A 27,159-nucleotide genomic window follows, 5' to 3' on the forward strand; every position below is an offset into this window, starting at 1 on the left:
CCCCCGGGCCACATCAGCTGAGGACTGCTATGAACATAAATTAAAAGGAGAGAGGCGTGAAAAGGGGCTTTGAAAGTACTCTGTCATTTGGTCTTCCTGTCTGTATTTTTCCTTCTTCTCTCTCATTTGTTTGCTCTATCAACTCCTCTCCTTATCTTCTGCCTGAGGCCCTACTTTCCTTCTCTTGATCTTCTGAGCAAGAGGCTAACTTCTGAGTGTGTTTTCACAGTAAGGTCTGGCGTTTGTTCGATGCTTTAGATGGCACACCAATAACCTTTATACACACTGATGTGGCCACACAGTGAGTGAGCAGTCCTGCTCCCATTTCACAGATGAGAAAACGAAGACCCAGAGGGAGGTTAAGGGACTTGTCAATATCGCATAGGAATAACAAAGCCCAGGCCTGCCAATGCCAGTCCTCCTTTGGGCTGCCCCATGGTGCCCGTGAACTCCTCTAGGGCATGGCCTTTATTACTGATGTGCCACTTTACAGTCCTTCCTCCCTGTTCAGGTCAGTGCTGATATGACTTCTGGCCAGGACTCCTCCTCAGCTGACACCAGAGCACCTCGGGTTTCTTGGGCTCACTTGGTTCCGGCTTCCCGAATTCCCATGCTGCATCAGAGCAGCAACTGGCAGAGACAGGGAGCTTGTACCTGGGCCCTGGCAAGTCCTTTGCTGATCTGTCTTCTTTTTCTCCAACCTTCGCTCGGTTATGCCAGGAGGAGCTGGAGTGAAGGAACTGGCCCTGATAAAAATCTTTTTGGATCCTGGAACACTGACCGTCAGCGACTTTGGCGGCAGATGAATTTCCAGTCCTGTCTTACATAAGGAAACGAGAAGTTCATATTTCCCAACATACCAGAAAACCATTCCTCAGCCGTCACCTGCCATCAGTAGGGGCAAAATGAGGACCAGTGGGTGGAGCAGGACAGGACTGGAGGAAGGGCTCACAGTAGGCTGGGCCAGTGGATTCCAACAGTTAATGGCTGTGAGGCTCTGGCAAGAACTGGCGCCGAGCCAGGCACAGGGAACATATGATCTCACTTAATCCTCACAGCTGCCCTGGAAGGGAGGTCTGCTGTTCCCACTCTAGAAGAGGAACCTGAAGTTTGGATCCCATATCCAGAAAGCCCCAAAACCGAGAGTGTCTGACGCCAACCCTTATCACGAAGCAACCCTGCCTTGGGAGGTGATGGCTCTCTGTTACGGGGGCTCAGTGAGCTCTTGCTGGGTGCTGTATGAATGGTAACCGTGACTCTGGTCTCAGGGTCTTGAAGACTCTGACCACTCTCAGACCACCCGCATGGCCAGTGCCCAGGCCCTGCTGTACCATTGGCTGTGGGGAGACAAGAAATAACCTGGCATTTCAGCAAGGGTCAGAAGGTGCCACCCGAGAAAGGAAATTGAATGACTAGGACATAGCATTGAAAGGTTGTTTGTCAGGGAAGATCGAGGAAAGCCTCAATGCCCATCAAGAAATGTCTAGATGAAAAAACAATAGCTCAGCAGCTCAAAACCCTAGGGATCTCTCTGAGACTGACAGGGAGAATAGTCCAAGAAACATCATTTTGTGACAAAAAGCAAGCTGCAGAATAAGATGTGCAATGGGATATCATATATGTGAAGAGATACACACAAAACACAAAGCCTCCTATTTCCACATGTAGTTATACATGCATGGCAATGCATAGCAAGAGGTCTGGAAGGAGACACCCCAGACTGACAAAGCGGTGTCCTCCAGGGGAAGGCCAGGAACAAAATGGGAGCCTTGGCATAGGGTGATGGTGGAGGGTATGGTAAAGGAGTTCCTTTGATTGATTTATACTGTTTGAATTGCTTACAGCAAAAATACATTATGTCCTCCTTAGGTAATTAAAAATAAATACATAAGTAAACGAAAAGAAAGTGCAAATCTGCTTTGTGGATCATAAATACATGGAGTGGTGACTTGATCTGATTAATTGATGAACTCAGCCAATAAATATTACAGAGAGAATGTCCTCTGGAACAGGCCTTATGCTAGGGGTGGAACTGCAGAAATGAAAGATGGAGACTCCGATCCCAAGGAGCTTAGAATCCAGTGAGGAAGGTAAACGGCAAACCCAGAGTGAATATCCTAGGAACTGTGACAGCCCAGGGAATCACATAATCTAGCTGGCCTGGAAGATTCCTGGAGTCTATGTCTAAAAGGTGACATTTGAGTGGGGATCTGAAGGATGATGTATGTCCCCAAATTCATGTGTTAGGAACTCAATTCCCAGTGTAACAGTATGGGGAGCTGTGACCTTTGGGAGATGATTGAGTCATGAGGCTCCAGCCTCATAAATGTGATTAGGTGCCCTTATAAAAGGGCTTGACAGAGGGAGTTTGCCCCCCTTTCACTCCTTCCATTCCCTCCACCATGTGAGAACACAGTGTCCCTCCCTTCCAGAGGATGCAGACACAAGGCACCATCTGGAAGCGCAGAGCAGCCCTCGCCAGACACCAAACCTGCTGGCGCCTTGATCTTGGACTTTCCAGCCTCCAGAACTGGAAGAAAATGAACTTCTGTTCTTTATAAAGGACCCAGTCTCAGGGGTCTTGTTATAGCAGAACTGATGGATGAGACAGATGAGTAGCAGCCTGACTTGGAGATGGGGAACACGTCCTGGCAGATGGAGCAGCAAGAGTTGCTATTGCCTGGCAGCAAGTCCAGAGCTGCCTCCAGTGGGCATGGCCAGGCCTCCCATCCAGCTCTCCTTCCTCCTGGAGCTGACATCTGGGTGACAACGTCCACCTTGAGATCCGTGAAGACACTCAGATTCTAGTCTGACTCTGTTCCCTCCGCCACGTAATCTCTCTGATCCTGTTTCCCATCTGGAAGAGTCAGGAGGGGGTTAATTCCTGCCCTGCCAAGTTTCTAGGATTATCATGAAGATCAAGTGGGATAATGCCTAGAAAAGAGTTTCATAAACCAAGAAGCACCAAACAAATATTATTTAGATTGCAGTCTTGCTTCTAGAAGCCGAGCCAGTTGCCTAAACAGAAAAATTAAATTTACGAAGAGGATCTGAACTTTCCCTCTCATATCCCCAGGCCTCCATTAACCATGGAGAGGCAAAACCTTCTTGGTCTATCTCCTTCTAGAGAGGTGATGGGTGCAGGAGAGAAAGAGGGGAGGGTGTGAAATAAGGAGGAGATGGCTTCATCACAGCCATGGATCGTGAGGACAGTTGTTCTTTCCAGCTAGTCTGTGTGTGGGGTCAGGCCAGGCTCAGACCCAGCTATGAAGTCACCAAATAGGATTTTCTTTGCTCTCAGATTTGGCTGTTTTCCTTTTTTTTAACATCTTGCCAAGGAAACCAGCTCTTGGAAGATTCTGCACTACTTCCACCCTGCAGAGAAGGGTCTGGGTCTTTTTCTCAGGTGCCCCCAGTGCTTACGTGGCTGTCATCCCCTCTGGTCCTCCGTACCCTGGGATGCAAGCAGGAATGCCACTCAGAGCTCCAGGGGCCTTTACCAAGGATCAGACTATCAGGTGAAGGGAGGAGAGTTGACCAGCATGGAGCAGATAGGGGTGGTATTTAGTAGGAATGGTGGTATGGCATTCTAAGACTGCTGAGCTTGTCCAACTTAGCTCATTATGGATTTCCATTCACAGAGTCTAAGGAGTGGTCCCTAAAACCTATAAACAATGCTATCATCCTAGAGAGCAACCGACAGTGGTCTGAGTGGGACTGTCAAGCTTGAGTGTGCCTGCCCTTCGTGTACAATGTTAGCCTAAGAAACTCAGGTTTGTAATTTGTCAAGAAAAAATTGGAAGGCAGTTGAGGAAAAATCTATCATAAGCTAAAGCCTTGGCAGTTGTATCCAGCTGAAGGTACCAGGGAGCAGGTGTGGATGGTAGGAAACTGAGACAAAGATCCAAATACCTGGGGCCCTAGCTCATGGTCTGAGGGTGTGGGGCAGGGATACAGACCTGTAACAAAACAGGATGGATGTTGTAATAGCAGATGTGTTCAAGGGTCTCCAAGACAACCCTCAGGTTTGATGATTTGCTAGAGGGACTCACACAACTGAGAAAAGTTGCTGTATTCATGGTTATGCTTTATAACAGTGGAACGACATAGATTAAAACCAGAAAAGGGAGAGGGTGCATAGGGTGGAGGCCAGGAGAGAGCAGGGACAAGCTTCCAGTTGCTGTCCTCCAGGGGAGTTTTACAGACAATGCTTAATTCATCTAGGAGCAATGTGACACCACACATGGAGAGCTACCAACAACGGAAGCTCCTGAGCCTCTGTGTCCTGAGCTTTTACTGAGGGTTGGTCGTGTAGGCATGGCTGACCACCTGCATGGCTGACATTACTTAGTCCCCAGCCCCTTCAGAGGTCAAACAGACACGTGTGGCTAGAGGCCTGCACCAGCAATCTCATTGTTAGCATGGACTATCTGGCATAGGCCCTGTATTAGTAAGGGTTCTCTAGAGGGACAGAACTAATGGAATATATATATATATACTCCCATATATATATGGGAGTTTATTAAGCATTAACTCACATGATTACAAGGTCCACAATAGGCCATCTACAGGCTGAGGAGGAAGAAGAGCCAGTCTGAGTCCCAAAACTGGAGGACTTGGAGTCTGATGTTCAAGGGCAGGAAGCATCAAGCACAGGAGAAAGATGTAGGCTGGGAGGCTAGGCTGGTCTAGTCTTTTCACGTTTTTCTGCCCGCTTTATATTCTAGCCAAGCTGGCAGCTGATTAGATTGTGCCCACTCAGATTAAGTGTGGCTCTGCCTTTCCCAGCCCACCAACTCAAATATTAATCTCCTTTGGCAACACCCTCACAGACACACCCAGGATCAATACTTTGCATCCTTCGATCCAATCAAATTGACACTCAGTATTAACCATCACAGGCCCAAAGACACTATTATCAGGCAAGATATTCTAAAGGCTTAGAGGTTATCTCCTAGGAGCTGGCCCGGGGACAGATATCTCTTTGGAATGCATAGGGTGTGGATAATCCAGGTCTGCTGAGCCAACACTTTACTGCACAGCAAAACTCCAGAGAACTCATGAGGAGCCTGATTTATTTGTGATTGTGGGTAAAACTAGGTGGGAAGAGTGGGCAGGAGAGTAACCGGCCTACCTAGTATGATGTCTATAGTGTAATGTCTGGAAGGAGAAGGTTATTTACCCAGAACCTGGACAACATGAAACTGAGGGAAGACTGGGAGCAGAAAAAGCAACTGGGAAGGCCAAAGCTCATCCATTCATGGAGAGAAGGTTCAGTTGGTCAAATGTTGCACAAAGAGGTTGTGTAAGATGAGGGGCAACCAGACGGGGGCTAAGCAGCACAGTACAGGTGGCCATCAGTGGCCCTTGGCATGGAGAGCTGGTTGCCAGGGTGGGGCTCCAGCCCAGAGACAAAGCAAGCTGGAGGAGATCATCAGTCAAATAAGAGTGGCTGAAGGAACCAGAAGCATTTCACAAAAGGACAAGAAGGAAAGTCTCCTCTTATGTGTTTAAATGTCTCCTCTTTTCTTCTTGTCTCTAAGGCCATAACTCAGAAATTAAAATAAGACTTTGTCGTTTCCCGAGATGTGAGATGACACTGGGGAAAGCAGGGTACCCTCAAAAGAGACCTAGGGCCCCATTATTTTTTAAAAAGGCAAGGGGCCTGTGTTGGACCACCTCTGCTGGTTCTAGCTGGTCATGGCAAAGAGGGAGCTGATGGAATGAGACAGGACTGGTACAAAGGAATACAACCAGGAGGGAGGTTTTGGCCCACGTAGAAAATTACTTACTAACAACTAGAACTTCTAAAGATAGGCAGGCTGCCTTGCCTGGTAGTGAGCTTCCTGTCATTGGAATATGCAAGGTGGCTGGGTGGCCACCTGCCAGTGATGCTGTGGAAGGAATTCTTGCTCTAGGAGGGAGAATGAACTAAAAGGAGCCATTCTTCCTATACTCTCCCCAGGTGACCTCATCTAGTCCTGCATTAAAAACCTCTTCTATGTTCAAAACTCACCAATTAAAAACTCCAAACCAGATCACTCCCCTTGGCTCCGGGACCTTGTCAATCTCCTCTACTGACTGTCCTGTACCTAGGAAATGCCTGGCACATAGGTGTTCAGTCAATGTTTTTGAACAATTGGGTGAACCTCAGCCCTCTCACTTTTCTCCTCCCTTGGTTTTGCACAATTACCACTTTGGGCAAGCAACCTTCCTTCTGTGAAAAATGGCCCTATGAGTCTTACACCAGCTGTGCCAACTTCACCGTTCCCCACTACTTACTTCTACCCCACCCCTAGAAGTACTAAGGACCTACGGTGGATAATCTGTGTTGCTTACCCTTGTTCAGTGCCCTGCCATGTTGCATGCCTGTCACCCTCTCCCCGACCCTGTGAGTTTCTGGAGATAGAGGGTTGGGTATGTATTACTGCATACCTGACACTTTGCCCAGGCACTGGCATAGAGCAGGTGCTCAGAACCTGAGTATTGCAGCAGGGTTTCTTAGCTCCTATCTTAGGTGGAGCTTCCCCTCCCCATGCCTTCCACGAGTAGAGTATGTATTAATGAACTAGCTCTTCCAATGCTAGGAAATCTATTTCACTTTAATGAAATCCAATTAGTGCCTCCACTGTGGAGCCCTGGGCTCTTTCAGACTAGAAGATGCTGAACGAGAGGATGCCTTTTCCTGTAACCCAGATGTGTCTTTCCCGCCTCCATCTCCCTTCCAGGAACAACACTGCCATTTTTCAGCTTCTTTTATCTCCAAATGTACATCTGTTTCCAACATTTCCCTGTCTCAGGATTCTTTGAGTGTTACTCTGCAGAATAACTTGAGGACGGTATTCTTTCACTTTTCATCCACTTACTCATTCTCCTGTCCACCCACATATCCACTCACTCACCCTTCTTCTGAACACTCATTCATTTACCCACCTGCTCTCCCAGAGACACATTCCCAGCCGGGTGCGGTGGCTCATGCCTGTAATCCCAGCACTTTGGTAGGCCGAGGAGGGAGGATCACGAAGTCAGGAGATCAAGACCATCCTGGCCAACATGGTGAAACCCAATCTCTACTAAAAATACAAAAATTAGCTGGGTGTGGTGGCCTGCACCTGTAATCCCAGCTACTCAGGAGGCTGAGGCAGGAGAATCCCTTGAACCTGGGAGGCAGAGATTGCAGTGAGCCAAGATCGCACCACTGCACTCCAGCCTGGCAACAGAGAGACACTCTGTCTCAAAAAAAGAAAAAAGACACATTCCCCCAATCATCTCTTCACCCGTCAAACCACCCACCATCTATCCATCTCTTTATCTACTCATCCATCCATCAATCCATCTGTCCATTTATCCACTTATCCATGCATCCATCCATGCATCTCTCCTCCCATCCTTCCACCCATCCACTCCTGAACCCTTCCATCCATCTGTCCATCATCCATCCAGCCATGCATCCATCCATTCATTCAGGCAAACACACCCAATAAACATTTCTTTGAGAGCCTACCTTATGTGAAGTCCTCTGCCTGGGACTAAGGAAACTAATGAACAAGATTCAATTACTCCCCTGGAGAAGCTTCCAGTCTAATAAGGGAAAACTGACACACAGTGTGTGGTTAAGAGTATGAGCTCTTGCATTAGAAAAACCTGGGGTAAAATACCAGCTCTACTACTTAGCAGCTCAAGAACATGGACAGATTGCTTAACTTCTTTGTGTCTCAGTTTCCTTGTGGCAAGTAATACTCAACTCATGAGTAATTGTTGTGATAATTAAATGGAATAATTCATGTAAAGTGTTTAACCCTAATCCTGGCATATATTAGGTGCTGCACAAGTGATCAATAACATTGTTACTTATAATATTATTCATTGCTTATGATATTATAGTATTATTAATTCCCTCATATGCTAATTATGGGATTTGATTGCTTATGAATTTCATAATTAATTTACACACTCAATGATATTTGTTGAGTATCTACTGCATATCCTATCCTGTGCCAAGCTCTGTGCTCTTTTGGAGATTAGAATCTTATTGTGCAGATGAGACACATACACTAGAAATAGCTCAATAGTAATGATAACCACAAGAATAACTATAATAATAATGATAGCTAATGTTTATTGAGAGCTTATTATATGCCAGGTATTGTTACAAATATTTTACATAGATGAACCGATTTCACGTTCATAACAATTTTGAGACAGCACCTATTATTTGCCCAATTTTACAGATGAGAAAATCAGGAAAAGGACAGGTTGGGTGTCTTACCCAATGTCACAGAGCTGGTATGTGGATGAGTTGGGATTTGAATGACATTATCTAAGTTCAACAAAACAGGGCTCAGTCAGAATGTCATAGTAATGTGCAGAGGGAGGTTCCTGCAGGCAAACTGCACGGAGAAGGTGAACACACGGAGAAATAACTTCCTCATGGAGAGGGGCATTTGATATACTCCTTCCCACATGTGGGCTGTGGACAGGCTGCAACAGATTCATTGTTCTCAAGCCCCAGCCAGACCCACCGAATCAAAGCAATGAGGGAAGAACCCAGGAATGTGAATTCTAAGCATAAGCTACCATTTGCTAAAGCTTGAAAAACACTGCTCTAATGTTGAAAGTAGAGTCTCATCCCCAACTTCACCACCCACCTACTCCCTCTATGAAGTCAAGCATATCATTTAGCTTATCTGGGACTCAGTTTCCCTTATAGAAATTAGGGATAGTAATATTTGCCTCTTGGCACTGTTATAAAAAATGAACTAATATGTGTACCAAGCTTAGCCCATGGCTGGATAGTGGCAGGAGAGAGAATACAATGCTTGGGTCTTGGGTGCAGGAGGTAACCCGCCTTCCATCAGGTGGAAGGAAGTGTCCTCTGCAGTGGTAGAAGGGGAGTCAAGGGCAAGAACAGGTGCTTTCAGAGTCTGAGGATCCACGGTGGGCTTTGTGTTGAATTCACTGCACTTACCTTGGTTTCCAGCCCTTCAACGTAACTGCTGAAACTTAAGCACTCACACTTGTTCATCTGGGAGACTTACACAATGGCTTGGTTCTTGAGAATGTTCTTCCAGAATGACTACTTGTGGTAAGTGGCAACGTGCGCTTAGGATCTGATAGGAGCTCTTTGCTCACACCACCCTGGAACCTACATGTCATCTGTGGCTGGTTCCCAGAAGCACCAGCTTGCCATGCACATTCCTAGTGAGAATGGAAAAATCCTAAGCCCTGCAACCAACTGAATGGACACCCTCTTGACCAAAAGTGATGCAGCACTAGCAAGTCCCAAAATTGGGGCTTAGCTCAGAAGGGTTCTTGGCTTCACCCAGGAGGGAACTCGGGGGAGCCAGTGGTGTTAGACAGCAACTTTTATCGAAGAGGCAGTGCACAGAGGTATTGCTCCTTGCACAGCCGGGCTACCCCCTGGGTAGCGTACCCAGAATCACAGCTAAGAGACAGTTCTCCAGTCATATTTATATGTGCTTTTAATTATATACAAATTAGGGGGCAGATTATGCAAACATTTCTAGAAATAGGATGATAACTTCTGGGTCATCAGGTTGTTGCCATGGAAAGGGGCAGTAACTTCTGGATGTTACCATGGCAATGGTAAACTGACATGGCACATGAGTGGGCTTGGCTTATGAAAAGCTGCTTCTGACCCATCCCTGTTTTAGCTAGTCCTCAATTTTGTCCAGTGTCCTAGCCCCGCCTCCATAGTCGAGTCCTGCCTCCTGAGTTGAGTCCCACCTTCTACCTCAAAAGGATCTCAGAGAAACCCTAAAAACTGAGCTCCTAGTCCTGACATGCCTCATTCTCCCCCATCCCTTTTGTGGCTTAGACACAACAACTGACCAGCATGAATGTTAACACAGAGACCAAAAGACTGACAGAATGGACTCGTTGTGGCAATAAGATAACAAATTATAAACCAGACCTAAGCCCATGCCAGGTGAGGGTTAAGTCATGAACCCCTACGGTCACAGAATAAACTATATTCCAATAGTCACACGTTTCCCCCTTTTTTTCTTCAGCAGCTAAACAAGCACTGGCTTGAAATAAGCAATATGGAAGGAACGGCAGCTCACCCACCAGCAGACACTGACTGAGCACCCAGTTCCACCAGGCTGAACTGCAGCTTTGATTAGACAAGAGACTGATTTGTCCTGATAAGAGACAAATGGACCAACCATGGACTCGTTTTGGTCAGTTTACAGAGGCTGTGCACCAACTGCCTTCATGTCTCTGCTTTATCTTTTAACACACAGGGCCTAATTTCAATGCATGTAAATGTTGCCTTCACCCCAAAGTGAACATAAGATGCATGTAACATGCATGCTTGTTTGGTACACATGCATCAGAAGCCCCTTTGTGAATATTCATAGCTCCTCCTATAGCCTATTGAATATCTATATTTGGACACCTTCAGCATAAATCCCTGTCTCATCCTTTTCTCCCTTGAAATGCCTGCCTTTGGGGCTACTGGATGCTGCACTTCCCAGTCTTCGAGATGACCAGCCCACAGGATATAACCCTTTATAAGAAATAAAGTCCCTGGCAGGTGTGGTGGCTAATACCTGTAATCCCAGCAGTTTAGGAGGCTGAGGTGGGAGGATCACTTGAGCCCAGGAGTTTGAGATCAGCCTGGGCAACAAAGTGAGACCCTGTCTCTACAAAAAATCAAAAAATGAGCCAGGCATGGTGGTGCATGCCTGTGGTCCTAGCTACAAGGAAGGCTGAGGCAGGAGGATCACTTGAGCCCAAGAGGTCAAGGCTGCAGTGAGCTATGTTTGTGCCATGGCACTCCAGCCTGTGTGACAGAGTAAGACCCCTCTTAAAAAGAAAGAAAGATGAAAGACAGAAAGGAGGGAGAGAGAAAGAAAGAAAGAAAGAAAGAAAGAAAGAAAGAAAGAAAGAAAGAAAGAAAGAAGAAAGAAAGAGGGGAAGGAAGGAAGGAAAGAAGGAAGGAAAGAAGGAAGGAAGGAAGGGAAGATTCCTTTCTAAATTGATAACTTTGTGATTTTTCAGTTGACACTAGAAAAGCCTTTTCACTCCCTTGTGGCTTTGTAAATAGCAGGCAGTGGTGTTTTAGGATGCAGCACCTGCTTCTGCTGGGTGAGTGATGAGGTCTTTCTAGCAAAAGGGCTCTCTCTGTCTCTCTCATGATCAAGGGTCACTGTAACAGCTGATAGATGAAAATTTATCCATTTGTCGCCGTGAATGTCTCTGTGAGTGAAGAGCTCGCTGATCTGCCAGCAACTCCTGGTAGTCTGTCATTGTATTTTGACTGAGACTGGGCGAGGGCGGCTTTTGGCAGGTGTCTGGCCAAGCGAGGGCACTCCGTGGTGGCATTTGAAGCTTGAGTCAGTCTGAATTTGAAGCTTGAGTCAGTCTGAATTTCGTCAGGGAAGAAGAGCTGCTGTAAGCGATAGTGGCATACAGGGTATAATGGAGGAGATGAGGCTTACTGAATGAGGGAGGAGTTGGGGGCAGAAACAGCCATTGACCCCTGAGCCTGAAGCCTGAGCCTCAAACCCCAGCTCAGTGCAGTAACCAACTGTGGAGTACCCAGAGCTCAGGCACTTCTGGTAGGTGATTAAGTCATGAGGGCTCTGTCCTCATGAATGAGATTAGATGCCCTTATAAAAGGACTTGAAGGAAGGAGTTTGCCCCTCTTGTCCTTCTGCCTTCTGCCGTGTGAGGACACAGCACCCCTCCCCTCTGGAGGATGCAGCTTCAAGGTGCTAACCTGGAAGCAGAGAGCAGCCCTTACCAGACAACAGAATCTGCCTGTGCCTTGATCTTGGACTTCCCAGCCTCCAGAACTGTGAGAAATAAACTTCTGTTCTTCATAAATGGCCCAGTCTCAGGTGTTTCATTACAGCAGCACAAAATGGGCTAAGACATCATCTCACAGTTCTGGAGGCCAGAAGCCTGAGAACCAGGTGTGGGCAGGTTTGCTTCCTTCTGAGGCTGTTAGGGAGCATCTGTGCCAGGCCCCTCTCTCAGCTTCTGGCCATCTTTTGCGTTCCTTGGCTTGTGGAAGCATCACCTGATCTCTGCCTTCACTGTCACATGGCTGTGTGTGTGTGTGTGTGTGTGTGTGTGTGTGTCCAAAAGTCCTCTTTTTAAAAGGACATCAGTTATACTGAATTAAAGGCCCACTCTATTCCAATAAGACCTCATTTTTAAAATTTTGTTTTTTTAATTGATATGTACTATTTTACATAGTTATAGGGGTTGTCATTATATTTTATTTTATTGTAATTAGACCTCATCTTAACTAATTACATCTACAAGAAATCTATTCCCAAACAAGGTTACATTCTGGTACTAGGGGGTAGGACTTATGAATTTTGGAGGGGACACAATTTAACCCATAAAAGAAGGGGATTTGGGGAAACATTGCTCTTAGCTTTAAATGGGTGTAGTGGTGACAAGATGACAACGGACAACCCCAGAGCTGGCAGGGATGTCTCCCCATTGAAGCCTTCATTCGCTCCTGCACTCATTCATGGGATGTGTACTGAGCACTTACTACGTGTCAGGCTCTCTGTTTCATAGTTGAGATGCAAAGGTGAGTTCGGCCTTTTCCCTTCAAGTGTCCTGGGGGTGAGCTGGCAAGTCAACCAATAAATTATAATTGGTGGCAGAGCATTTGTGGGCACACAGAGGGACAGCTTGCTTGGAGACCAGCGATGGTGTCCCTGAGGAGGGGCCTGGCAAAAGGAGCTGGAGCAGAGGGCACAGAGAAGGGAGGAAGGGCACTCCAGGTAGAGCCACTGCCCTGTCCTGGGATGGTACATCCTGCAGGCCAACTCCTGTGGAGGGCACAGGAGGTGGGGGGAGCACAGGGCTTCAGAGTAGAGGGCACACCTGGGTATGATCCCTGACCCCCAGTCCCCTGCCGAAGACGAGGTGGGAAGACGGGACTTTTACACACACACCCACCACCCTGGGCTGCTCCCTGCATCTCCACATTTTAAAGATGGGAAAGCTGAGGCTTAGGATGGAAGTGACTTGAGAGAGGTGGCCTGCAAGTGCAGATGGCCAAGACGAGTGGCCAGCAAGTGCAGATGGCCAAGACGAGTCATTCAGGCCCCTCTGGCTTGGCAGGGGTGGGGGTCAGTTATGCCGAAGCCCTATCTCCTTTCATAGTGTGGATATGTTCAGAGCTAGCCACCCTCTACTCTGGATCTACAAGCTCTGCCTAGGTGGTTCTCTTCTGCCACCATGGGAGTCTCACCTTGGTCCCCAGCACCTGGCTCAGCATCTGGCCTAGCAAACTGTGGATGCTCAGAATTGGTGAAAACCAACAACAAGAACGCAGTTGCCTTAACCACAGCCTCGCATCTTGCTGCTGTCATCAGGGAGTTCACAGGACCTTGCTTGTGTTCGGCAGGCCTTCTCAAATATTTTTGAATCCCTAGCTCTCATACTTGTACAACTTAGAACAAATTTATAACTCCCATCTTATCGTCTGGACAACAGGTAAGGCAGGGAGGAGGGGGTTCTCTCAATGCTGCAGACAAGGACATGAGTCTAGAAAGGAAAGTCCCTTGTCTGAGAACAGGCCTGCAGGACTCTCGGGGAGGCAGCCAGGGTCCTCTGCCCTGAAGCCACGGTCAGTGCTAGGGCCCAGGCAGGTGAGGTCAGGATCCCGTTGAGTGGGGTAGGGGTAGGGAGAAAGCTGTGTCACTGGTTGAGTGGCCAGTGCATTGGGTTTTTCCATAAACAATTTACTTGTAACAAAACCTCAGCCAGGGGTAGGAGGGGAAATGCACAGGGCAAGAAGGATGGGACAGGAGCTCAACAGAAAAATGCAGGAAGCCCAGACTCTGGAGGAAGCAGTGTGGATGCCCTGGGGCATGCAGAACTGTTGGGGCATAAGAGGTTTGGGCATAGGAGGTTTGCAGAGCTGTGAAGGACACAGGAGAGGTGTACAGAGCTGAGGGGGGCACAGGAGGGGAGTTCAGAGCTGTGGGGGGTACAGGAGAGGAGTACAGAGCTGAGGGGAACACAGGAGTGCAGAGCTGGGGGGGCCCAGGAGGGGTGCATAGCCCTGAGGGGGGCATAGGAGGGGTATACAGAGCTCAGGGGGGCACAGGAGGAGTGTGTAGAGCTGAGGGGGGCACAGGAGGAGTGTACAGAGCTGAGGGGTACAGGAGGGTACAGATCTATGGGGGGTACAGGGAGGTGCAGAGCTGAGAGGGTTTCAAGAGAGGTGCAGAGCCAAGGGGGCACAGGGGTGGATGAACAGGGCAGTGTTAAAATGCACAGCAGACAAGCCTCCTGCAATTGGACTGTGGTGAGGAGGAGGCTAGGGAGGCAGTGGGGATGACCCTGAGGTCTGTGTAGGGTGTAGGGTTTTATTGACTGCCTGGGGGCCTGCTGGCGGCGAGATCTGGAGGGTGAGTAGAGGGTTTCATTCTGGACATGTCACATTTGAGAGCCTGACATTTCACTTGGAATTCTTCTCTGCTAACACTCCTTTACTATCTGCCACCCTCCTTCTGTAACCCACAGACAAAGTGCAGACTCCTGGGGGTACCCGAAAAGATTTCCACACAGAGCCGGGCTACATGCACTCTAGGACAGCTCGGGGTTGAAATGTACTCAGCAAGGGCCAGGGAGCCTCCTTAAGGAAAGGAAACAAAATTATGAATAGAGAGTTGGATATGATTAAACCTCAAAGGGAAGGACTCCACATGAGTGAGGGGCTGAAGTTTGAGCAGTGCCAGCCAGCTCTGCCCCCTCCTGAGGCTGGCGGGGCCACCACCACTGTTATTGAGCCTTTTGCTCACCCTCCAGGCCTTTGCTTGGCCATTCCCTTGGCCTAGAATGCCCTCTTCATCTCTTCTTCCCTGGCTCTCGTTTCCTCAGCCTTTAAGATTCCAGCCTGGACTTTGTCTCCCAGGGTACCTTCTTCTACTCTCAAGATGGTGAAAGCTCCTGATATGGTTTGACTGTGTCCCCACCCAAATTTCATCTTGAATTGTAACTCCTACAATTCCTACTTGTCCTGGGAGGAACCTGCTTGGAGGTGATTGGATTATGGGGGCAGGTCCTTCCTGTGCTGTTCTCATGATACTGAAGGAGTCTCATGAGATCTGATGGTTTTAAAAATGGGAGTTCCCTGCACAAGCTCTCTCTCTTTGCCTGCCGCCATCCATGTAAGATGTGACTTGCTCCTCCTTACCTTCTGCCATGATTGTGAGGCCTCCCCAGCCATGTGGAACTGTAAGTCCAATTAAACCTCTTTCTTTTGTAAATTGCCCAGTCTTGGGTATGTCTTTATCAGCAGTGTGAAAACTGCTGATACTGTGACTAACAGAGCTCCCCTCTGGCTCCCACAGCCCCCAGGGCTCTCTTCCCTCCCAGCTCCTCTCACTGTTTTCCTGTGTGTCCCCTCTTCTTAAAAAGGGGAGGAGGGGGCTACATTTCAGTAGCTCCCAAGCCCAGGGGTGGGGCCCCAACACTAGCAGATGATGCTTAATTCAGGTGGGTTGAGTGAGTGAGTTGGTCCCACCCCTTACTCCCAGGGGGTTTGTAGCAGCCAGCAGGGCTGCCCTCCCTGGTCAGTGAGGTGCAGGGCCTGGGGTGACCTGAGCCTCAGAGACCAGCCACAGCTGCCAGTCCCTGCCCCATGAGAGTGACAGTCCACTGAGACTTTTCTTCCCAAGGTCAGGCTTGGGGACTTGGCAAAGTTGAATTGTTGCTATGGTGGGGGTAGAGGGTAGGAGCCTTTAGTGATCTGAGGGAGTAGCTGGGACTCTACTCAGAGCTAACCCAACAACATAGATAGGGAGACCTGGTTCAAGCCATCTTCTGCCATGTGACCTTGGGGAGGTCACTTAGCTGTCTCATCTGTACTTGCAGGGTAATGTGAACCACTGTCCTGTTGAGACAGTTCATGGAGATGACAATAACAAAGGCTCTTGGTGACTCACAAAGGTTTCTACAAATTCAAAAGCTAATTCAAGAGTTCACGCTTCAAGGCCAAGCATGACAGCTTATGCCTGTAATCCCAGCACTTTGGGAGGTTGAAGTGGGAGAACTGCTTGAGGCCAGGAGTTCAAGACCAGCCTGGGCAACATAGCGAGACCCTATCTCTATAAAAGTAATTTTTGTTTTTCAAAAAGTTCATTTTCTAAAGGGTTTGGCAAAATGAAACTTTCGAGAGGCAAAAAAAATGAGCAAAGGATTCTGCTAATATTTTAAAACTCATTTTAAAAATATGTTCCATGTAAAGAGAGAGAATTGGAGAGCTGCTTAATTTTTCAAAAGGGCTCCTACATAAGCAATCTCACCCATCACCTCCCAGAGCCCTGGAGGGCTTAGTTATCCCTGTTTTATAGATGAGGAAACTGAGGCTCAGAACTGCAGTGTGACTTCCTCCAGCTTTAGACCCAGAGGTGGAGTCCAAGCCTGTTGGCTTGGATTCAGGTCACATGGCATCCTTGTGGGTAGTGATGGAGAAAGGGGGAGTAACAATGGGGTACCACTCTGTTCTATCATGTTCTAACCTACAAATGAGGCAGGAGAATAGGGTCTAGAGGCAGGGAACCCAAGGTCATTTCACACTGACTTCCTAGAACTAAATTGAAAGGAAAACCCTAACTTTCCACTCCTAAGTAACAAAAGGACCAGAGGCTACTCCCTTTACAAGCCCCCACCTTTTCTGTGAGGCAGATGGAAAATTGAAAATACCTCTGATTGGTTGCTTTTTGCAACCAATCAGACCTTTGCCTAGGAGTGTAACTTTGTAACTTCACTTCAGCCTCTAATTAGTTGCAGACAGACAGATTGCGAACCAAGTCTTCATTTGCATAGAAGTGCAACTTTGTAACTTCACTTTAGCCTCTGATTGGTGGCTTTCTGCAACCAATCAGATGTTTGCATGGGAGTATGACCTGTGTAACTTCACCGATTGCGGGTCACCATTTCATTTACGTGAGGTGAACACCAAGTGGCCAGTGGGAGACCTCTAGGGGGTATTTTGACCCAAGAAGATTCTGTATCTGGGGCTCCTGAGCCTCTGCTTAGCCCGCTCCCTCATGGTGGAGTGTACTTTCACTTTCAATAAATCTCTGCTATTGTTGCTTCATTCTTTCCTTGCTTTTCTGTGCCTTTTGTCCGATTCTTTGTTCAAAATGCCAAGAACCTGGACAACTTGCAGTCAAGACCCTCTACCGGTAACACAAATGCCTACCAGGCTGTTTTGCTCAGTGCTGGGACAAGTGCCAGGGCCTGGGCCTGCCTGGTGGACGAAACGTATCCTTGCCCTCAACAGGCTCAGTCACAGGCAGAGAGAGTGTGAGGAGACAGAAAGGAGAGAAGAAACTAAGTCCCCAAGGGGAAAGGCAGGAACCTGGGTGTCCTCAGGCTCACAGAGCCAGGGCCTGGCCCCTAAAGGGCATTGGTACTTTCTGGGAAAGGAGCAGGAACATCTATAGGTGACAATGGCTGGCACAGCAGGTGCACACATTTGGGCCCAGTCTATCTCAGGACACTCAGGTGGAAGGCAGAAGGGCAGGCCCGAATTCTTCCTTTCCTCATTAGGAACTGTCTTCACTGAAATCTTCCCCATCCCTCAAAGCCCACCAATGCCTCCTCCTGTAATGGCACCAGATTAATCTGGTTCAACTTTGTGTAATGAAACAGTGAGTTGTTTTTAAACTGCCATGGATCCCCAGGTTGAAGGTCACATAACCTGAGAATGTCCAGATGAACCAAGGGTGGAAGCTAAGTGCTCAGGCCAAGGAATAGGACTGAATTAAGCAGCGGACACCACAAGGCGGGATCCAGAATCCAGTGAGATCAAGCCCTCGTGTCACCCCATGGCAGGATCCAGTCATATCATTTCTCCCAGCATCACCTTATCGCAAGATCCAATCAGATCATTCCTCACTACTCTCTCACTATAAAATCTCCCCCAACCACCAGCTTGGGGAGACAGATTTAAGCTTGACTCTCGTCTCCTTGCTTGGTAGCTTTATGTATTGATCTGTTTTCATGCTGCTGATAAAGACATACACAAGGCTGGATAATTTACAAAGAAAAAGAGGTTTAATGGACTCACAGTTCCACATGGCTGTGGAGGCCTCACAATCATGGTGGAAGGCGAAAGGCACGTCTTACGTCGCGGCAGACAAGAGAGAATGACAACCAAGTGAAAGGGGGTTCCCCTTATAAAACCGTCAGATCTCATGAGACTTATTCACTACCACCAGAACAGTATGGGGGGAACTGCCCCCATGATTCAATGATTTCCCACTGGGTCCCTCCCACAACACATGGGAACTATGGGAGCTATAATTGAAGATAAGATTTGGATGGGGACACAGCCATATCCTATCACCTTGCAATCAACTTTTTTCTTTCCAAAAATCCAGTGCTTCAGTGTTGGGCTTTCCCTTGCACGAGGCAAACCAGACCATTTGTTGCTTGTTGACACTCCCCCAAGCAGCATTCCCAGGTTCCCTGCTGGCAAGACCCACCCTTCTTCCAGTTCCTAGGGCAGGCCATTTGTGCCTTTTAAGGCTTGAACTCCAGCCTGCATGGCATTGCCTCCCTACAGGTCTCTAAGCCAATTCTGGAGGGAGGTTATCTGTGTGATTCCGCTCCTCCAGCTGCACCTCCAATTCTTTATTGGAGTGGACCTTTCTTGAGCTTCTATGTGGCACTTGACCAGCTGCTCTCCAAAGATCATCTTTAATGCCCGGAGCTCTGTCCGTTTTGCAGATGTGGTGATATTGTGCACCGTTCAGATCCCAGGCTTTGAAATCAGAGTCCTGGGATAAGCCTCATCTCCAGGTGGATGGGCAAGGGCAGGTGGCCTTGCACTGGTCACAGAGCCCGAGTCTCCTCATCTTTGGTGGGGCAACATAAGTGCCCACTTCCTAGGCACTGTGAGGGCTGAGATGAGGTGCCTGGCATACAGACCACAGGCCATCAGCAGTAACTATGACTGTTGTCGGGAACTGGGGCTCCGAGTAGGTGGTGATAAAGGCATATTCAGCGGATGGATTCATGACTCTGCAGATGTGTCTTAGCCTTGAGCAAACTTCTTGCAGCTGGAAGGAGGTGGGTGTCAGGGGAAACATTTTCCTCCCTGAGAAAACTTGATGATACTAATTGGAATTCAGATGGTGCTAAGCTGCTAGGCTTGGGGGAGGCAGGCACGAAGTCATCCGCCTTCTTGTTTAAAGTGAGTTGTAATTCTCCAGGGGTTGAGAAACCAGGCGCTTCACTCCAGCAGGGAAATAGGCACGTGGGTTGGTGGAGCCGGGCCAGCTGAACACCCCTGCCTAATTGGTGTCCCTCTGCTAATCAATACCTGTGAGGGAGGTGGACGGGACCCTGGGGGTCCAGGAGTTGCTGCTGGGAGCCTGGCACAGTGCTGGGTCCCTGGGGAAAAACAGGAACCTCTACTCTTGGGGCTGTGAGGAGGACACATGAACCAGCCCCCTCCAGCTCCAGTTATGATCAGAGATGAACAGAATTCTGCCCAGAGGTGCCCTTCTCTCCCCAGCAGTAAAGAATGAGGATCCTAGTAGCTAGCGCAATTTTGAAAATGCGTTTGGGCATGAGGCGTGATGGGAAAAGGTTAACCACTTTCCAGCACAATATGGATGTGGGGGTTGTGAGTGAGGGGAGGCGTGATCCTTCCTAAGAATGGGAAACAGTCTTTCCTCTAAAGGATTAAACTAAACTCAAGATCTGTCTTGGAACAGGAGGGCTTCCCTGGTGGGACCAGCCTTGCCTGGGGGACCTCATTCGTACTCATGCCTGGCCTGGGCCCTCCACCCACCCTCAGGAGCCTGCATGATGCTGCAGGGGCCAATAGGCCAGGACCCTTCTGCTCATGGGATGCTGAAAGCAAGCCCCTGAGCCACCTGGGTTAGCAGAGGAGAATCGAGCAGCACCTGGTCAGGGTGGGCGCTTGACTCTGGGTGAGTCCGCCCTGCTAGGGACCCCCCCAGGCCAGGAAAAATGTGGGGGATCTACACTGAAGGAGGCTTCTGAGATCCCAAAGCCCAGAGCTCCCTCTCATGGCCCCTGAAACTTCCGGGTATCTCTGGGAGACTTAGAAACATCTATTCCCAGGGTCTGGCCCATACTTGAGGTCCAAAGTCTCAGGGAAAGCCCAGGACAGCCCCCAGGGCTTCTGTGGCCCCTGCCTAAGACATATCCCATCTAGTTGCTTGTCCCTATTTCTGTGGTGAGGAAGGTCCTCTATGGGCAGGCCACTTGGTTCAGTTTGTGGCAACAGGTTTTGAGCACGTGATATATGCCAGACCCTTGGAGTGGACAAGGCTTGAGGTGACAAGAACCTCAGGTGCTGTGGGTAGAGCCCAGAGGAGGGAGGGGCCCTAACGCTGCCTGGGGTGGCACCTGTAAGTACCCTCACGATAAGGGCAGGCTTCTTCTTGTCCTTCAAAGTCAGGGTCCAGATTCCCAAGCCTCAGGAATCACTGGTGCCCAGTGCAGACAGCGGAGCTTGCTGAGAGGTCCCGTTCTGTGAAACGATCCAGTTACCTGTCTGCCCACTACTTGGCTGCATCTGGGAGCTTGCTCAATGCAAACAAATAAAGCTCTGATTGGGGGAAATTCCAGCAGGATAGAAAGTCTCCGGCTGCTCTGCCCTTTCCTCACACTGTGACCTTGAGTCAATCCCTGGGCCTCAGTTTCCCCAAGACTGTTTTGAGAAAGTGAAACTAGCTGTGCCCAACTCAAGCCTTTCAAAAAAGTGCTTCTGGGCCAGGGCATTTTTGTCTCTTCCAGGACCCTCAGGGGCTCATTTGCATTCTTGGAATAAAAATGTTGACTGTACTTCATGCCCAGCCGCACATTTAAATGCTTATGCAAGGTTTATTTTGGAGAAGCAACTCTCTGGAATGCTGGCAGGGCGTGAGCCTCCGCCTCCCCTGGGAGAGGCAATCAGCCCCCAACCGAGGCAGGAGCTGAGGAGGGGCAGAGCCTCTTGGCCCCAGGGGAGGCACAGTCCAATGAGAGCCTCACCCCAGGGGCTGTCGCGAGGCTGTTGGGAAATGTCTCATTTTTATATGTAAATAAATCATTTCCAGAGATTGCTCTGATCGCAGCAGGCTGCTGCTAAAATGTTTTAAGTGGGTCCTTTGCCACTGTAAACTTTGTTAAGGATTATTATTGAGTTTGGTTTTTTGTTTTTTTTTCCTGTTGATTTCACTGAATCACCAACTCCTGGGACTCTAGCATGTCCTGCCATTGTACCCTGTTTGCACACCTCTGTGGACGGAGAGCTCACCTCCTCCAGGCTGCCCATTCTGTGGTTGGATGCACCAGGGACTGCCAGAAACAGCTTCTTTCTGAGTGAGCTGGAATTGGAACTCTTTTCCTGTAGCTTTCCTTGCTGGATCATGAACCACGCCTTGCTCTGGCCCCACAGAACACACTTGTTCTCTCTTCTCTCTGTCACACTCTGTGTATCGGACCAGGACTTCCATCTCCTTTGCCAAAGCTTGCAACATCCTCCGTCACCTGGCCCTGGCCCTTCTGCATCCTCAGCTGCTCACACCCTTACTTACCATGCTCCAACCCATTGGCTGTTGTGTCCCTCAGGTATACCTAGCAGGGTTTCCCCTGGGGCCTCTGGCAGGATGCTCCTTCTCCAGGTTTCCTTCTCGAGGATCCCAGCTCAAATGTCGCTTCCTTAGAGAGGCCCTCCCTGGGATCCTAGGTAAAGGGCCCCCCAACCTCATCCCTCTTGATCATGGTGTCTTATGTTCCTTCAGAGCCTGTGACACTACTTGCTTCTAATACAGCACAATATAATATTTACTGACTTACATGTTGCTGCCTGGATAATTAGAATGTAAGTGCCTTGAAGATGGGTCTTTTTCTTTGGATTAGTCCGTTCTCTCATTGCTGTGAAGAAATACCTGAGACTGCATAATTTATAAAGAAAAGAGGTTTAATTGACTCATGGTTCTGCAGGCTGTACAGGAAGCATGACGTTGGCATCTGCTTGGCTTCTGAGGAGGCCTCAGGAAACATGGCTGGGAGCTAGAGGAAGAGAGAGGGGAGGTGCCACACACTTTAAAACAACCAGATCTCTCGAGAACTCTATCATGAAAACAGAACCAAAGGGGGAAATCCACCTCCGTGATCCAGTCACCTCCCACCAGGCCCCCCCTCCAACATTAGGAATTACAATTTGACATGAGATTTGGGTGGGGACACAGACCCAAACGGTGTCAGCCTTGCTTCCTGCTGTAATCCCAGGACCAATAAATTCACATTCTAGGAATGTGGTGCCTACCTTCTCAGAGCCTCCTTGCCATGATTCTCTGCAAAATACAGGTTCTTGTCCCTCATTCATGGCTTTCTCTCTGGACACTTCCCCTTAGTCCACATCAGGCATGTGCAGACTCACTTAGCAGCAGAAGCTGTTTCTTAAAAAAATTCTTACCCAGAGGACCAATATATAAAATAGCTGAAGGTGATGTGGCTGAATGGGGGGAAGGAAAGAAAGGTCTCCTGAGCCCTCAGCCCCCTGGCTCTCAGTGTAGTCCCTGAGGCACCTGCAGAGATGTCTGTTTCCTGTCTGCCTGTGCTCATGGCCCCTTTGTCTAGTGACAGTGCCTGATTTTCCTCTGGGGACTCCCCCTCACCCATTTGTAGATAGGGACTTCATCCACCAGGCCCAACCAGTCTGCCAGTGCCACATCCTGGCCATAATGATTGATTCAGGAAGGGCCTGGGACCCAGGATGGTCCAAAGAGTCTGGCCTTGGAAACTGTCCTGGATGCGCTGAAGCAGAAGTTTGCTGGACTGATTGGGCTTAAACCAGTGTCTTTGTTTTTTGTACCTTATAACAGAATACTTGAAACTGGGTAATTTATTTTTAAAAAGGAATGTATTAGTCCATTTTCATACTGCTGATAAAGACATACCTGAGAGTGGGTAATTTATAAAGGAAAGAGGTTTAATGGACTCATAGTTCTGCATGGCTGGGGAGGCCTCATAACCATGGCGGAAGATGAAGAAGAGCAAACATGGCAGCCGGCAAAGAGAGAGTTTGTGCAGGGAAACTCCCATTTATAAAACCATCAGATCTTGTGAGACTTATTCACTATCCTGACAATAACATGGGAAAGGCCCACCCCATGATTCAATTACCTTCCGCCAGGTCCCTCCTACGACACACGGGAATTGTGGGAGCTACAATTCAAGATGAGATTTGGGTGGGGACACAGCCAAACCATATCAAGGAATTTATTTCTAACAATTATGGAAGCTGAGAAGTCCCAGGTGGAGGGGCCACATCTGGTGAGGGCTTTCTTGCTGGTGGGGGCATCTTTGCAGAGTCCCAAGATGGTGCAGGGCATCACATGACGAGGGGGCTGTGCATGCTAGCTCAGGCCTCTCCTCATTTCTTTACAGAGCCGCCAGTTCCACTCCCTCAATAATCCAATAATCCATTAATTCATCAATAGGTTAATCCATTCATCAGGGCAGAGACCTCAGGGCCCAATCACCTCTGAAAGGTCCCAGTTCTCAGTATTGTCACATTGGAGATCAAACTTCAACGTGAGTTTTGGAGGGGACAAACTTCCAAGCCATCGCAGCCAGGATCTGCACCCTCCTGAGAGCAAAACCCAAACCAAGCACGGCAGACTCAAGAGATGGAGAGAAGGCAGGCAGTCCTGGTAACATCGTCAGGACCCCTGGATCTGGCCATATCCCAAATCCTGAACTTTACAATGACCTGAGACAAGAGTTGTGCCTACTTTGCTTAAGCCTGTTTGAGCTGGGCTTTCTCTCACTTCTAACTGAAAGAATCCTTACTGTGACACTAAGGTACATAGAACATGGTTTGAAAGCCACTGCCGTATATCCTCCAAAAGTTGGGCAGAATGCATTTGATGTTTTTGTTTCTGCTAGTTTGTTTTCATAGGTAATAATAATGATAATAGTAATTAAAACTTTCATTTCTTTAGTAAAAGATTTGATGAAAAGCTTTCATCAAATTTTCAACATAATACCATGAAAAATAACTCTACTTCTGTCCTGTAGTTGACTATACTGAAGGAAAGTGGGGTTGAGGGATTTGCCCAAAGTCACCGTATTAATAAATATGGCAAGACTTTTCTGGAATTTATGGCAAATATGATAGAAACAGATGAATATCTTAATTGCACAAAGAACTTACATAAATTGCTAGACAAAACAAAATTTAAAAAACAAATACAGAGCAATGTCTCTGTAGATTAATGAGTAAGGAATATGAACAGAAAATTCAGAAAAGAAGTCATTCAAAAAGTAAATAATAAATGGAAAAAATTACTCACCAATAATTTGAGAAATTCAAATTGAAAAAAAGATACTATTTGTCTCATTTTAAAAATGTGCAAAGATTAAAACAAACACCAAATGCTGGCCTGGATGCAGAACAATTGATACCCTTTCACAATATTGATAGTAATGTAAATTAATGCAATTCTTTTTTTTTTTTTTTTTTTTTTTTTTTTTTTTTTTTGTAGAGACGTGGCCTTGCTATGTTGCCCAGGCTGGTCTTGAACTCCTGGTTTCAAGTGATCCTTTTGCCTTGGCCTCCCAAAGTGCTGGGTTTACAGGCATCAGCCATCACACCCTGATGCTCAAAAACATCATACGAAGCTTTTGAAAAGCTATTTGGCAAAAACATATTTAAAACAGGGGTTGGCAAATGTTTTCTGAAAAGGGCCAGATAAGTAAATATGTTCAGCTTATTGAACCATATTGCCTGTGTGCAATATGTACTCAACCTGCTATTGTGGCAAGAAACAGCCATAGGCAATGTGTAAGTGAATGAGTGTAGCTATGTTCCAAGAAAGCTTTACTTATAAAGATTTATTTATTGCCCCAAAAGCCATGATTTGCCAACTCCTGGTTTTAACCATTAAATTATTATGAAAATGATGATTATATATAAAAAAAGTACCTACATGAAAGCACACTTAGAATATAAAGTTAAGTGAATAGTAGGTACCCAATTGTATAAAATCACAACCATGAAAATCCCTAGGCACAGACACATATGAAAGAAAGAAAACATGTCTCTCTCTCTCTTTTTTTTTTTTTTTTTTTTTTTTTTGAGACAGAGTTTTGCTCCTGTTGCCCAGGCTGGAGTACAATGGTGCGATCTTGGCTCACCACAACTTCCGCCTCCTGGGTTCAAGTGATTCTCCTACAAATGTATCGCAAAGAACTCCCGCACCGTTCCCTGAAGGAGACAAAGTTTCTCCAGAGGCCAGCTCATTCCAGAGGTACGGATGGCTGGTTCTTCTCTCCACTTAATTTTAAAAAATATATGTTCTTTCTTATGAAAAAAAGAATCCGTTTCTAGAGAATTCTACGAATGGTGAGTCACACTCTGGAGTGCCACTTCCATGAATGCCGAGTGATCAGTGGAGGTGGCTCACACGCCAGGGCTCACTGGAGCCACCCTCACTCCTGACACATTCCCTCATTTCCTGCTTCTTCCATTCATGTCTGTCTTTGTCTCACTTAATTTTTGCCCCAAATCTTATCATCTTACAGAACTGAAGCTCTTTGAAATTCAGCTTCTATGAAGACTCTGCAAGCCCCAAAGTGTTTAACCAAGACCTTTACCTGGGAAAGAGAATCCGGACTCAGCCCTCTGCAGGCTGTTGAAGCTCAAGCCACCACCATGCCAACTTCCACAATGATTCCACCAACACAAGTCAAGCACTGCCACCACCATGAGAAACACAATCCAGCAACTGTAACAAAACCCACAACAGCCAACACATCCCCCACAGCTGCAAATACAACCCTAACCCTACAACCACAGCAGTGATCACAACTCCAGTGATTATCACAACAAACCCAATAACCACACCAACTCCAACAACCACAGCTACAGCTCCCAAAATAACCACAGACCACAGCAACCTGACGCAATTTTAACAACAGCCACAATCATAACCACAACAGCTCCAATAACCACTGCAACAACCACAGTAGCAGGCATTTGTTGATCACCTCTTATAAGCCAGGTCCTCCACCAAGTGCTTGTCATATATTATCTCACATAGCCTTCCAGCTGCCCCAGGAAGTAGACAGATATACATGCATGCTTTATTTATTTTTATTTTTATTTTTAAAAGATAGACTTCTATTTTTCAGAAAAGTTTTAGATTTACAGAAAATTGAGGAGACAGTAGATAGAGTTCCTATAGGCCCCCTCCCTCCCACTCTCAGTTTTCCCTATTATTAACATCTTGCATTAGTGGGGTACATTTGCTAAGATTGATGAAACCATCTCGATGCATTATTATTAACTAAAATCCATAGTTTATGCGAGGGTACAGATTCCGGGGGCTTTGATGAATGCTTAATGGCATGTATCTGCATCAGAGTGGCATACAGAATAGTTCCATTGCCCTGAAATTCCTGCTTTCCACCTATTCATCCTTCCTCCCTTCTGTCACCCCCAAACTCCTGACAACCACTAGCCTTGACAATATTTTTATAGTTTTGTCATATAGTTGGAATCACACAGTATGTAGCCTTTTCACACTGGCTTATTCACAATGTAATATGCATTTAAGATCCCTCCATGTCTTTTCTTGGCTTGACAGCTCATTTTTTTTATTGCTGAATAATATTCCCTTGTACAGATGTACCACAGTTTATTCATTCACCTTTTGAAGTCTATCTTGATTGCCTCTAGTTTTGGGAAATTATGAATAAAGCTGCTATAAACATTTATGTGCAGGGTTTTGCATGGACATTTTTTTACCTTATTTGGGTAATTACCTAGGAATACAATTGCTGGATCATGTGTTTCAGCTAAACATAAACAAAGACGATGTTTAGTTTTGCAAGAGAGACAACAAATGAAACTGTCTTCCAACGTGACTGTACCATTTTGCATTTCCACCAGAAATGAATGAGAGTTCCTGTTGCTCTGTTTTCTTGACAGTGTTTGGTTATGTCAATGTTCCAGATTTTGGCCATTCTAATAGTAGTGTCATTTCCTTGTTGTTTTAATTTTCAGTTTCCTGATGACATATGCTTATTTGCAATCTGTGTATCTTCTTTGGTGAGGTGTCTGTTCAGATCTTTTGCCCATCTTTTAACTGAGTTGTTTTCTTATTGTTGACTTTTAAG

The 27,159-nt window shown here is 47.2% G+C and overlaps 1 long non-coding RNA gene across 1 annotated transcript, besides 2 other annotated features; it reads left to right on the plus strand.

The window, feature by feature from the left end:
• Window positions 20,458-20,959: an enhancer, noted in NCBI's record as "OCT4-NANOG-H3K4me1 hESC enhancer chr14:94346035-94346536 (GRCh37/hg19 assembly coordinates)". NCBI's record gives its function as "activates a minimal SCP1, AML or CMV promoter by ChIP-STARR-seq in primed H9 embryonic stem cells {active_cell/tissue: H9 hESC(primed)}" and the evidence as "EXISTENCE:reporter gene assay evidence [ECO:0000049][PMID:30033119]".
• Window positions 20,960-21,459: an enhancer, noted in NCBI's record as "OCT4-NANOG-H3K4me1 hESC enhancer chr14:94346537-94347036 (GRCh37/hg19 assembly coordinates)". NCBI's record gives its function as "activates a minimal SCP1, AML or CMV promoter by ChIP-STARR-seq in primed H9 embryonic stem cells {active_cell/tissue: H9 hESC(primed)}" and the evidence as "EXISTENCE:reporter gene assay evidence [ECO:0000049][PMID:30033119]".
• Window positions 21,195-26,173, plus strand: LOC105370631 (uncharacterized). The gene is made up of 3 exons (XR_944162.3): window positions 21,195-21,351; window positions 25,125-25,289; window positions 25,564-26,173. It is a non-coding gene; the product is annotated as an uncharacterized LOC105370631 (long non-coding RNA).
• The last annotated feature ends 986 nt before the right edge of the window (window positions 26,174-27,159 follow it).

The sequence above is a fragment of the Homo sapiens genome, chromosome 14 (assembly GCF_000001405.40).
Source record: "Homo sapiens chromosome 14, GRCh38.p14 Primary Assembly".
In the NCBI taxonomy this organism is placed as follows: Eukaryota; Metazoa; Chordata; class Mammalia; order Primates; family Hominidae; genus Homo; species Homo sapiens.